At 43.9% G+C, this 12,786-nt stretch overlaps 1 annotated feature.

The window, feature by feature from the left end:
• Positions 1,112-2,033: an enhancer, noted in NCBI's record as "OCT4-NANOG-H3K27ac hESC enhancer chr3:120188655-120189576 (GRCh37/hg19 assembly coordinates)". NCBI's record gives its function as "activates a minimal SCP1, AML or CMV promoter by ChIP-STARR-seq in naive H9 embryonic stem cells {active_cell/tissue: H9 hESC(naive)}" and the evidence as "EXISTENCE:reporter gene assay evidence [ECO:0000049][PMID:30033119]".

Raw genomic sequence — 12,786 nt, forward strand, 5'->3', positions numbered from 1 at the left:
TTGAAGGAAGACCATCTGCACCTTTATAATAAGGAAGATGCCTGGAAGGCAGCAGGAGCTTCTTGGGACTCCTTTGCATTTTGTTGTTGCCGGTGTTGCCTAGGAAAGTTCTGCACCTTGGTGATAAAAACTGGTTCTGGTTTCCATTTTTCCCATACTTGTGAGCCGACCTCATAGTGTTACTTTGGAGACACCAGCACGAGCCAGCTGTCCCCCCTCCTCAGAGATCTGAGTTTCAGCTACGTGGGTCCCTCCTCTGAGTTCAGAGGCACCAGCAGTGACAAAGAGCCCCCAGCCTGGCTTCAGCTCAGCAGGGCCTCCCTTCTAAGCTTCTAGATCCAGATCATGCTGCCTCTTCCCTTAGTTCCCCTAGCCCTGGGAATGGTGGCTGCTTCTTGCAATTACATGTATTCACACTTTACCTGGATAGTCTTCCAATACCTGTTTAACCAGTTTCTTAAGTTAAATTCTTTCTGAAAAAAAATTAACTGGTTTGGCTTTTGTTTTGAGACAGGGTCTTGCTCTTGTTGCCCAGGTTGGAGTGAAGTGGCATGATCTCGGCTCTCTGCAACCTCTGCCTTCTGGACTCAAGCAGTCCTTTCACTTCTGCCTCCCATGTAGCTGGGACTACAGGTTGCACCATCATGCCCAATTAATCTTTGTATGTTTTGTAGAAACAGGGTTTTGCCATGTTGCCCAGGCTGGTCCTGAACTCCTGGGCTCAAGCAATCCCCCCGTCTCAGCCTCCCAAAGTGCTGGGATTAGAAGCATGAGCCACTGTGCCTGGCCTGTTTTCTTGATTAAACCCTTATTATTAGCGTCACTTAGTTTTCTAGGGCTGCCGGACCAAGTACTGGGTTACTTAAACAGTAGAAATTTATTGTGTAGCAGCTAGAAGCTTGAAATTATCAAGAGACATTGGAACCAGGGTGATTCCATCTTGAATAAGGGTTGAGTGAAAAGAGGGTGAGACCTGCTGGGCTGCATTCCCAAGATGTTACACATTCTTACAGGATGAGATAGAAGGTCAGTAGAACTGGTTTCACAAGATAAGTCACAAAGACACCGCTAATAAAACAGAATGTGGTAAAGAAGCCAGCCAAAGCCCACCAAAACCAAGATGGTGACAAAAATGACTTCTGGTTGTCCTCACTGCTCATTATATTATAATTATAATGCATTATCATGCTAAAAGACACTCACCAGCGCCATGACAGTTTACAAACGCCATGGTAATGTCTGGAAATTACCTTATATGGCCTAAAAAGGGAAGGAACCCTCAGCTCCAGGAACTCCCCACCCCTTTCCTGGAAAACTCATGAATAATCCATCCCTCGTTTAGCATATAATCAAGAGATAACCATAAGTGTACTCAGTCAAACAGCCCATGCCACTGCTTTGCCTATGGAGTGCCCATCCTTTTATTCCTTTACTTTGAATAATCTTGCTTTCACTTTACTCTGTTGGCTCACACTTGAATTCCTTCCTGCACAAAGCCAAGAACCCATGTGGCTCCCAGGCCGAACTCCAATTGTGAGGTCCACCCTGTGACAAAAATCACAGTATAAGCAGGGTTGGTTCCTTCTGAGGGCTGTGAGGGAGGAATCTGTTTCAGGCCTCCATCCTTGGCTTATAAATGGCAATCTTCTTCCTGTGTCTCCATGTTCCATTTCTACCTGTCTCCAAATTTCCCCTTTTCATAAGGACACCAGTCATATTAGATTAGTGCTCACCCAAAAAACCTCACTTCAACTAGATCACCTCTGGAAAGACCCTATGTCTAAATAAGATTACAGTTTGAGGTACTGGGGTTTAGGACTTTAACATATAAATATTGGGGAGTGAATGGGCATAATTCAATCCGTAACATCCACCTTCAGCCCGTAATGAACAGAAATTAGAGAAAACTGTGCTTAAATTAACCACTTCTAGGTTGGTGTACTTGGGCAAGTAGCTTAATCTCTCAAAGCCTCCATTTTAATCCTTTATAAAATGGATATGGTAATTCTTATTTCAAAGATTAGATAGTACTTTTTTTTAATTCCAAATTCTTCTCTTTCTCCTTTTTTATTTTCCAGGAGAAGGTAGAACACGTTGCTCCTCCTCTTGCCCTGCTCACTCTCTTATTCTTACTCTATTTAGATTAAAAAGAAAATAAAGTTTGTTTGCTCATAATTTACTTTGAGCCTTGACTGACAAGGGCTGTACTGATCTCTGGAAATCCATACCTCCACTCCCAGCTCTGCAACCTCTCATTCTAATTTAAGTGCTATCATCAGGGCTTCCTCCCTGCCTGCCTTTGCTCTGTAACTCATTTCTCTCTTCCCTTTGGCACAACCCAGGCGTGGGCTCTATTAGAAACACCTCTTTGCCAAGCAAATCCTGGCCAAGTTTCTCATTGCTAACTGCACTCCTGCCTCTCCATGGAGAGTGCTTTTCCACACACCACGTTGTTTAGAAAGCCTTGTTCCTGGAAGCTGACAAGCTGTGAGTTGCTTAAAATGTAGTAATTTACCTGTGAATAACAAAACTAAATATAGTCATGCAATATACAGTATTTGGAAACAGAAGAGCATTGTTTAAACAAGATTTTGAATAGTTCCCTCCTTAGGAATATGGTAAATGGCCTCAGCAAAATCTGTATTTTATATTTTGAAAAGAAATAGGATTTTTTCTCAAATTTTAATGTGAATAGGAATTACCTGGGCATCTTGTTAAATGCAGCTTCTGATTCAAAAGTTCTGGGGTAGAGCAAAAGATTGGTCTGTGCATCTAAAATTTTCCCAGGTGATGTTGCTATATCTGCCCACCAACAACACTTTGAATAGCAGAGCTTCAGAGATCATAGGACAGAGCTTCTCAATCCTGACTACACATTAGAATCATCGGGAGTTCTTTTAACAAATATCAATGCCTGGTTTCCAACATCCAGAGGTTCTGATTTAATTAATCTGTGATCTGAGTCTTACACTCAGGTTACTGTCTTTTTTTAAAGTGATTCTAATATGCAGCCCAGGTGGAGAATCATTGCTCTAGTCCATTGCTCTTTAACTTTAATATGTATAGAATAGCCTGAGGATCTTGTTAAAATGCATACCCTGATTCAATAGCTCTGGGCCAGAGCCCAAGATTCTGCATTTTTAAAATGCTTTTAGGTCATACTCAGGCTGCTGGTTAACGGACCACATTTTTGAGTAGGAATGGTCTAATTCGGCATTTCTCAACCTTGACACTATTGACATTTGGGGCCAGATAATTCTTTGTTGTAGAGGGGCTGTTCTGTGCATGCGCTGGCCTCAACCCACCTAGATGCCAGTAGTAACCTCCTACTACCACCACCACATGAGATAACCAAATATGTCTCCAGACATTGTCAGATATCCCCAGGGTGAGGGGTGCAAAATCACTACTATCACCACCAACGTCACCTGCTGTGCTGGCTTGATTCATCCTTCTCATTTTACTGGAAATAGGTCCAAAAAGTCCAGTGTTACAATGTCTCCATCTTTAAAGATCTCAGAACCTCTAGGTATTTGAAAGCTGACAGATTACAAAGCTGACAGCTGCCTTAACAGGGTGTGGTAGATAGAAGAATGCACCCCCCACCCCCAGAGAGATATCTATATCCATGTTCTAATTTCCCAAACCTGTGAATGTGTTACTTTACATGGCAAAAGATGCTTTGCAGATATGACTAAGTAAAGGATCTTGAGATGGGAAAATTATTCTGGATTATCCAGATTGGCCCAAGGGTCCTCATAAGAGGGAGACAGGGTGTCTGAATAAGAGGAAGAGAAGTGACAAAGCAGAGGTCAGAGAACTAGTGATTAGAAGATGCTATGCTGTTAGTTTTGAAGATGGTGGGAGGGGCCACAAGCCGAAGAATGCAGGCAGCTTCTAGGAGCTGAAAAGGTCAGGGAATGGATCCTCCCGTAGAGCCTCCAGAAGAAATACAGCCCTGATGACACATTGGTTATAGCCCAGTGAAACCCATTTCTGTAAGAGAATAAATTTATGTGTTAAGTCAATAAGTATGTGGTAAATTGCCACTGCAGCAATAAATTTACACATAGGGGAATGTGATAAGAAGATAAACGATCTTATGTTGTGGGGAAGCAGAAGTAAGGTTGTACTTGGGTAGAATAGAATATAGGGAATGGGAAGGTGATTAAGGCAACTGAACAGACCCTGAGTTGAAAGGGAGAACTGATAATGCTGTTCAAAATTAAGAGTAATGAATGGAAAATTCCATGGGGACCAAGGCAGGACTAGTCGGAGCAGATGGGCAAGGTGGGAAGATTATGTGGGAGAGCATTGGCTGCATGTGTGGGGCCAGAGAGCATCAGTGTACTGCTTCCATGTTGCGGCCCAACATGCTTGGACAGGGCTTTGTGGTCCTTGGTGTTTGCTGCCTCTTAGAATAATCTGAGAGGAGTGTAAAACTCCTGCAGCTCAGGCTGCACCCGTACCAACAAAGTCAGAATCTCTGGGGACATAGTCATTTTTAAAACTTTGTGTGATTCTAATGTGAAGCCACATTTGAGAACCAGTGCTTAAGAAGGTAAACAGTGAGGGACAGACCAATAAATGCATGAACTCAAATTAACTTGTTTCTAGAATAACGGTTCTTTGGCACTTTTGAGGTGGCTACTTTCTTGCAGGGAGTGATGAAGGTGGGAAACCTGGTACCACCTGATGTAGCTGCAGGTGTTGGAGTGAGGATGAGCCCCAGGTTGTATGTAGTGGTGTCCAACGACAAGGCAGGGGGCCCCTCAGCAGTAGGGCAGGGGAATGGGGAAGAGAAGCTGGGAATATTGGAGGCCAGGGCTGAGAATGAGGCTACTTATCTAAATCTTGTCACCCAGAAAAATGTGAGGAATTCATACATGTGCTGGACTGAGGTCAACATCAAGGAAGAAGGGGGAAAGTCTCCAGAAAGCCATGAACCACCATATCCTTTAGCTGATTAACTTTCACTGGTAGTTCAGGGTGTATCTTAGATATGCCTCTTTCAGGAAGCCTTTTCTAACCCGCAAGCCTGAGTTAGATCCTCCCTTTTGAAGCCTTTTCAAATAGCCTGAACTCTATTCACTAGATGCCAGTAGCACTCCCCAATTTGTGACAACCAAAGATGTCTCCAGACTTTGTCAGGTGTTTCCTGGGGACAAGATCACTACCGGTTGAGAACCACTGGTCTAGAGTAATATAACGTGTGCACATCAGACACGGTCAGTTCTGTAGAGTCAAGTAAGGGTTCCTTCTTGTTGCCTCAGGACCTTATTTTTCTTTCATTCTCTTTCTCCAACTCAGACACTCACTTGGGGGTTGGAAGTTAATGATGTGGCTTCTACAGAAGCAGTGATTATGTCTATGCTGCTTTTTTTTTTTTAAAGTCATATTCTCAGTCCTGTAGAACTGGGACTCTTTCCATGGCTTATTCCATGCAGGGAAAAATGCCTCCTTCCTGAGTGGGAGCCCCTCCCTGAGGTGCACCACAGCTCCTGTAAAATCTTGAGGATGTGGGGAGTAGCTTGGACCCTTCAGAGAGGGTTGGTTTGCTTAGTGGTGGGATGGTTCTGAGGAACCATCTCATAGCTGGTACAAGTGCCAAATAAGAGACTTCTTCTGAATCTCCACACATTAACCCTTTTATTTTGTGCTTGGAAAATATGTGCTGAGCTAACCACACAACAATAGCTCCAGACAGGCCAATGAGTGATGTTTCTCAAGATAGATTTAATCAAATGCTGCACATAATTTGAAGTCTTAAAATGAATTCCTTCTGCTTTCCAGTCTATGGGAGCATGATAAATAAAGCCATGAGAGGAACTCAGAGCGGGTGAATGTATGTCATCCCATAACAATGCTGGGAGAATGTTTGGAAATCCTCCCTTCAGGGTTCAAGTTGGGATGCAGGAAAGGCTGGTTTCTCTCCCTATATCCCTTCCTGAATCTCCCAGAATATCTGCCATGCCTAGAAAAACCTTCTTTAGTTCATTGTGAACAAGAAAGGCAGCTCATCTAAGAAAACATTGCCTCTTCTGTGTTTAGGGTACTCAGCATCTCATTTTTCACTATGCCTCATGATGAAATACTCATTATAATATGAAAGGGGCCACAGTTTGAAAGTAGGAAACATGGAAGGGGCTGGTGGTCCCTAGGAAGGTGATGAAAGTGAGTAAATGTGCACTTGATCCTGTCATCACTGAACATTTATGGGGCTTCCACCATGTTCCAGACTCTGTGCTAAGTACAGGAGATGTAGGTAAAAAAGATAAAGTTTGGAATTACCAGTTGGTGGAAGGAGGCAAAAAAGTAAATAGCTGACTGCCAGCCAGAGTGAGAAGCTTAATGACAAGTAAGGGGTGCTGTGGGAACACATAGGGGTAACCTCAGTGAGATGGGGTCAGGGAGCATGTCCCAAAGGAAGTATCTTATAAGCAGATGAAAGCTATCCAGGTGAAGGACCTGGATGATGGGATGGGTGGGAATGGGAATTTCTGGCTAAGGGCAATTTAGAAGCCCAGAGGGAAGAGAGAAGCCATGAACAGGAAGCAATTTAGTCTGGCTGGAGTAGACAAGGTCAAGTGGGATGTGCATGGCGGAATCCATGTAAGGAAGGTGGCTGTTTCGTTTCATGAAGACCAGGAGCCAGCTTGAGGCCAGGTCCGGGAACACAGATATCCCCACCATTGAAGCCCACCTTAGCCTCTGCAAGAAATCCCCTGGGCTTTCTGCTGGCTCCAAATCCCGGGATCAGAAAGAAGATGCAAATCAGGATCAGTAAGAAGCTAAGAGGCCTACAGTGAGGTTTTGTGTCTTGGCAGGTGGTGGAGTTGAATTTCCTGAACTCTCTGTGTGGGCATAGATGTGTTTAGTCACACTGTGGCTTGAGGGCTGATTTGAACCTACCTCAAGCAGGTGCTCTGTGGGAATAGTTAGGTGGGGGTTGGCAGGATAACTCATTTTATTAAACAAAAAAAAAAGGCCGGGGGGTGGGGCTTCTTCCTATCAAAACAGGGGAAGGAATGAATAAATTATTGATGCTAATTAGAGATAGGCAATGACAAACCTGGAGTTTCTGCCAATCATCAGCATATAAGTGGATAGTGCCAGCCTAAAGGTGCAGACTCAGGATGCCCCACCTTGATGCCAGGTGTCACCAGCTCTTCTCCAGTGTGGCTGAGCCCATGATCTCACTAGGCCCCTGAAGAGATCCCCACTCGGCACTCTAAGGTCAGACTGGGCCACCTTCCTGAGGTGCGCCTGCTCCTGCACAGCTGGGTCTCACACAGGCCTGCTCTCCATTCCTCAGGATCCCACCTGTCATCCACTGCACAGGACTCCTAATAGAATTCCATCAAATTTCAGAGCCAGATGGAGCTTGCGGAGTGTATTATTCAAGTTCTTCATTTAACAGCTGAGGAAACACAATTTACAGCTGAAAGCATTGGTAGAAGCCATTATCTGCTATGCGGGCTGAGTCACAGAGGAAGCCAGGCAGCAGCAAGAGAGGCCATGAAGCAGAGAGATGCTCAGAAAGGAGCAGAGAAGAGCAATTGTGAAAGACGATCCCCAGGTTGCCTGGATCCATTTGCTTTTGTTTTCGTTTTTGCTTTTGTTTTTTGATACAGGGTCTCACTCTGTCACCCAGGCTGGAGTGCAGTGGTGTAATTATAGCTCAATGCAGATTTGACCTCCCAGGTTTAAGCCATCTCCTGCCTCAGCCTTCTGAGTAGCTGGGGCTACATGTGCATGCCATTACACCCAGCTAATTTTGTTTATTTTTTGTAGAGACAGGGTCTCACTATGTTGCCCAGGCTCATCTCAAACTCCTGGGTTCAAGTCATCCTCCCACCTCAGCCTCCCAAAGTGCTGGGATTACAAGGGATCCATTTTTTTTTGAGGTCCAGCTGCATCCTTGACCTCAGGCTCTATCAGACTCCCCTGTACACTATTTACAAATTCCCTTTTTTGCTTAGGAGGTAGCTAAAGTCAGTTGCTGTTACTTGTATACCAGTTACTTAACAGATACAATGAATTAGAATTCAGGCATGTAAAGACACCTGTAAGAGAAAGGGTGGCTCTCAAGCTGAAATTGTGAGCATTGGTGTATTAGTTTCCGTTGGCTGCTGTAAAAAATGACCACAAATGGGGTGGTTAAAAAATGGAAGTTTACTCTTTCACAGTTCTGGAGGCCAGAAGTCTGCAATCCGTATCACCAGGCCTGAATCAGGATGTCAGCAGGGCTGTGCTCCCTTCAGGTCATTCTCCTTTCAGAAGCTGGAGGGGGACCAGCCTGACCAACATGGAGAAACCTCGTGTCTACTAAAAATACAAAATTAGCTGGGCATGGTGGTGCATGCCTGTAATCCCAGCTACTCAGGAGGCTGAGGCAGGAGAATTGCCTGAACCTGGGAGGCAGAAGTTGTGGTGAGCCGAGATCGTGCCATTGCACTCCAGCCTGGGCAACAAGAGAGAAACTCTGTCTCCAAAAAAAAAAAAAAGAAGAAGAAACTCGAGGGGGCAATTTGTTCCTTGCCCCTTCCAGCCTCTGGTGGCTGCTGCCATCCCTTTGCTTGTGACTGTATCACTCTAATCTCTGCCTCTGTGTTCATGCTGCCTTCTCATCTTCTGTCTGTGGCTCTAATAAAAAGGGTTTAATCAAGAAAACATGCCAGGCACAGTGGCTTACACTTGTAATCCTAGCACTTTGGGAGGCTGAGACAGGAGGATTGCTTGAGCCCAGGAATTCAAGATCAGCCTGGGCAACGTGGCAAAACCCGTGCATGGTGGTGCAAACTGTAGTCCCAGCTACACGGGAGGCAGAAGTGGGAGGATTGCTTGAGTCCAGAAGGCAAAGATTGCAGAGAGCCGAGATCACGCCAATTCACTCCAACCTTGGCAACAAGAGAAAGACCCTGTCTCAAAACAAAATAAAACAAAACAAAAGCCACACTAGTTATTTTTTCAGAAATAACTTAAGAAAGTGGTTAAACAGGTATTGGAAGACTGTCCAGGTAAAGTGTGAAAACGTAATTGCAAGAAGCAGCCACCATTCCTAGGGCTAGGGGAAATAAGGGAAGAGGCAGCGTGATCTGGATCTAGAAGCTTAGAAGAGAGGCCCTGCTGAGCTGAAGCCAGGCTGGGGGCTCTTTGTCACTGCTGGTGCCTCTGAACTCAGAGGAGGGACCCACGTAGCTGAAACTCAGATCTCTGAGGAGGGGGGACAGCTGGCTAGTGCTGGTGTCTCCAAGGGAACACTATGAGGTCGGCTCACAAGTATGGAAAAGATGGAAACCAGAACCAGTTTTTATCAACAAGGTGAAGAACTTTCCTAGGCAACACTGGCAACAACAAAAAGCAAAGCAGTCCTGAGAAGCTCCTGCTGCCTTCCAGGCATCTCCCTTATTACAAAGGTACAGATGGTCGTCCTTCAAAAGGTCCCTGCTGGACATCTCTCCTCCAAGCCATTACCAATCACCCTAGAATGTGAGAAAGCTGATTTCTACCATCTGGTATATACCACCACTTTTTAAAATTGCCTCCCCTTCTCTCTTAGAGGGACACTTGTGTTGCATTTAGGACCATATGGATAATCCAGGATAATCTTCCCATTCATCTCAAGGTCTTTGATGTAATCACACCTGCAAAGACCTTTTTTTCGTCCAACAAGGTAACATTCACAGGTTCTAGGATAAGAATGTAGACATATTTTGGGGGGCCATTATTCAGGCTACCGCTATTGAGATATTTAAAAAGCAAAGTTTCAATTAAAAAGTGGGTTAGCTGTTAGTGGAAGAATAAAAAGTTAGAACCAGTAAGTGGGTCAAATAAAAGGCAGTCGGAACTAAAGAACACAAGGATTTGGCTCTCAAGGTTAGTAGATCCGCTTGGAAGAGGTGGGTTCATCAGGTTATCATGGTCCACCAGCCACGATCACTCAGCTAGCATCTCTTGTTCTGATTTCATGAAAATTTCTGATGATTTGGCTGCTTATATAGATTCACTTACAGTGACAGAATATGCTGATCTGTACATCAAAGTATCTAGTTTATTAAATCATTTTATTATTACAAATTTAGAAATCAGAATTCTGGTTTTCTGTTCATTCATTTCTACAAGTTTGAGTGACACATATTAGGATCTGAGATGAGGACTGTCCATCCTACAAGTTCAGAAATATAATTTTCTGGCACGCTAATAGTGAATCCATTCACTGTTGAAGGGGGAAATCAAACTGAGTTTTATTCTCTTGGTCATGATTCCAAATTCCTAATGAAGATGTCTAATGGGCCAAACTCAAACCAATTTCCCATCCTGGAACAATCAACTGTGGCTAGGGAATGATAGGGAATGAGGCCCCTTTGAATGTACTGCTTTTATTTAAGATTTATTTGGGAGGGATGGGCCAGTTTCCTTATAAGTTGGAGAATATGGCAAGCAAATCTGCAGTCTGTGTTATAATTGAACTTTCAGAAAGCATTCGACTTCCAAGTGTCACTCATACCTCTACTAAATCTTCTTCATAATCTTGTATTTGTGTGTGTCTTCAGGACTCATAAAACGGTAACTTAAACTAGTTAACATAAAACGGTCTGTTAACATAAGTTATGTTAACATAAAAAGTTAACATAAAATGGTAACTTAAAACTTAAAAAGCAACTTAAAAAGTTGCTCCTCCTTTCAACATATTCTTCTTGCTTCTATTAAATTAATCTTTTTTTCTTTTTTTTTTTCTTTTTTTTTTTTTTGAGACTGAGTGAGTCTTGCTCTTGCTGCCCAGGCTGGAGTGCAATGACACGATCTCGGCTCACTGCAAGCTCCTTGGGGGGCCTCCCGGGCTCAAGCAATTCTCCTGCTCCAGCCTCCCAAGTAGCTGGGGTTACAGACGCGCGCCACCATCACCACGTCCAGCTAATTTTTGTATTTTTAGTAGAGACAAGGTTTCACCATGTTGGCCAGGCTGGTCTTGAACTCCTGACCTCGTGATCTGCCTGCCTTGGCCTCCCAAAGTGCTGGGAATTACAGGCATGAGCCACTGTGCCTGGCACTAAATTAATCTTTATAAAATACCTTTGATTTATAATATATGATGACTATGACTATGACTTATATACAATCTCTACATTTTCTTTTCTTTTTTTTTTCTGAGACAGAGTCTCGCTCTGTCGCCCAGGCTGGAGTGCAGCGGCATGATCTCGGCTCACTGCAAGCTCCCGGGTTCATGCCATTCTCCTGCCTCAGCCTCCTGAGTAGCTGGGACTACAGGCGCCAGCCACCACACCTGGCTAATTTTGTTTTTGTATTTTTAGTAGAGATAGGGTTTCACCATATTAGCCAGGATGGTCTCCATCTCCTGACCTCATGATCCGCCCGCCTCAGCTTCCCAAAGTGCTGGGATTACAGGCGTGAGCCACCGCACCCAGCCTACCATCTCTATGTTTTCAGTCCTATATATGTATCTCCTGTATTTCATTATTTAATATTTATTCTTTAAATTGATTCACTATATAATCAAGTATATTAATTTAAAAAATAAGTTCTCTATCATAAATGGAAAAAAGATATTATTTTTTTTTTCTTTTGAGATGGGGTCTCACTCTGTCACCCAGGCTGGAGTGTATGCCACCACACCCAGCTACTTTTGTATTTTTAGGAGAGACAGGGTTTCACCATGTTGGCCAGGCTGGTCTCAAACTCCCGACCTCAAATGATCCACCTGCCTTAGCTTCCCAAATTGCTGGGATTACAGGCATGAACCACCATGCCTGGTCCACTTTTTAAAAATAGAAGGTAATCAAACAAATAAATATAGCAGGATGTTAGAATGAGGTTTCCAACCACATTTTTGACTGAGGCTTCAATAAAGTAGGTATATTACCAAAGTTCATGTGAGACAGGCTCCTCACATGTGAATTTACGAAGGAATTTGTGCAGAGCTTGTTCTACGATTTTTGGATATCTTAGCTCAATCAAAGATATTTAAAATAAGTCAGAATGTGAAGAGAGAGGAGGATTTGTGGAAGACCTTTTAGGAGGGACCTGGTGCTATGCTAGAGACCCAAGAGAGGGGGTACTGCCTTCTCCTTAAACGTAGTGCAATAATAAAAACAAACAAACAAAAAAAGAAACCTAGTGCAAGAAGCTTCCTTGGAACTACAAGGAGAGCTATGGAAGGTGCTCTCTGCACTTAGGGGATATAGGACAATGGCTCCTGACTCCCACCCAAGAAAATGTAGAAGTTACTGTGTTAGTCTTGACCTGCCGTCCTAATTGAGTGACCTGGAGGAATTCTTGCTTTCTTCTAGCAAGAAGAAGCCAGAGGGGAATGCTGTTTTTTAGAGGCTTTCAAAGAAGTTATCAATGACCACTTGAACTAGACATCATTAGGTACCCTGCACCATGGAATGATGGAAATCTCCATGAAAGTGCCCAGGCAGGTAGCCACGTTCGACTTTCTGCTTGACCCAGAGAGCTCTCAGCCACTAGCCAGCAAGTACTGTCCTTTGACCTATACCTCTTGTCCCTCCAGCCTGCCCCTTTCTGTCCCTGAGAGAAGTCAAACTTCAGCTAACAAGTGAAGGAGGAAGTGAGTGGGGAGAGCAGAAACCAACCACACTCCCTTTCTGGAAAACAGGCAGCTGTCAAGTAGAAGCCTTGCCTAGGGAACAGGAAGAAAATGGAAGAGCTGACTAATATCTAGGACTTGATATTCAAACTACCAAATTAAGACTGAGTTTGCACATAAAAGTCTGTAAGACTGTCTTTTATCTAAGCATTAGT

The sequence above is a fragment of the Homo sapiens genome, chromosome 3 (genome assembly GCF_000001405.40).
Source record: "Homo sapiens chromosome 3, GRCh38.p14 Primary Assembly".
In the NCBI taxonomy this organism is placed as follows: Eukaryota; Metazoa; Chordata; class Mammalia; order Primates; family Hominidae; genus Homo; species Homo sapiens.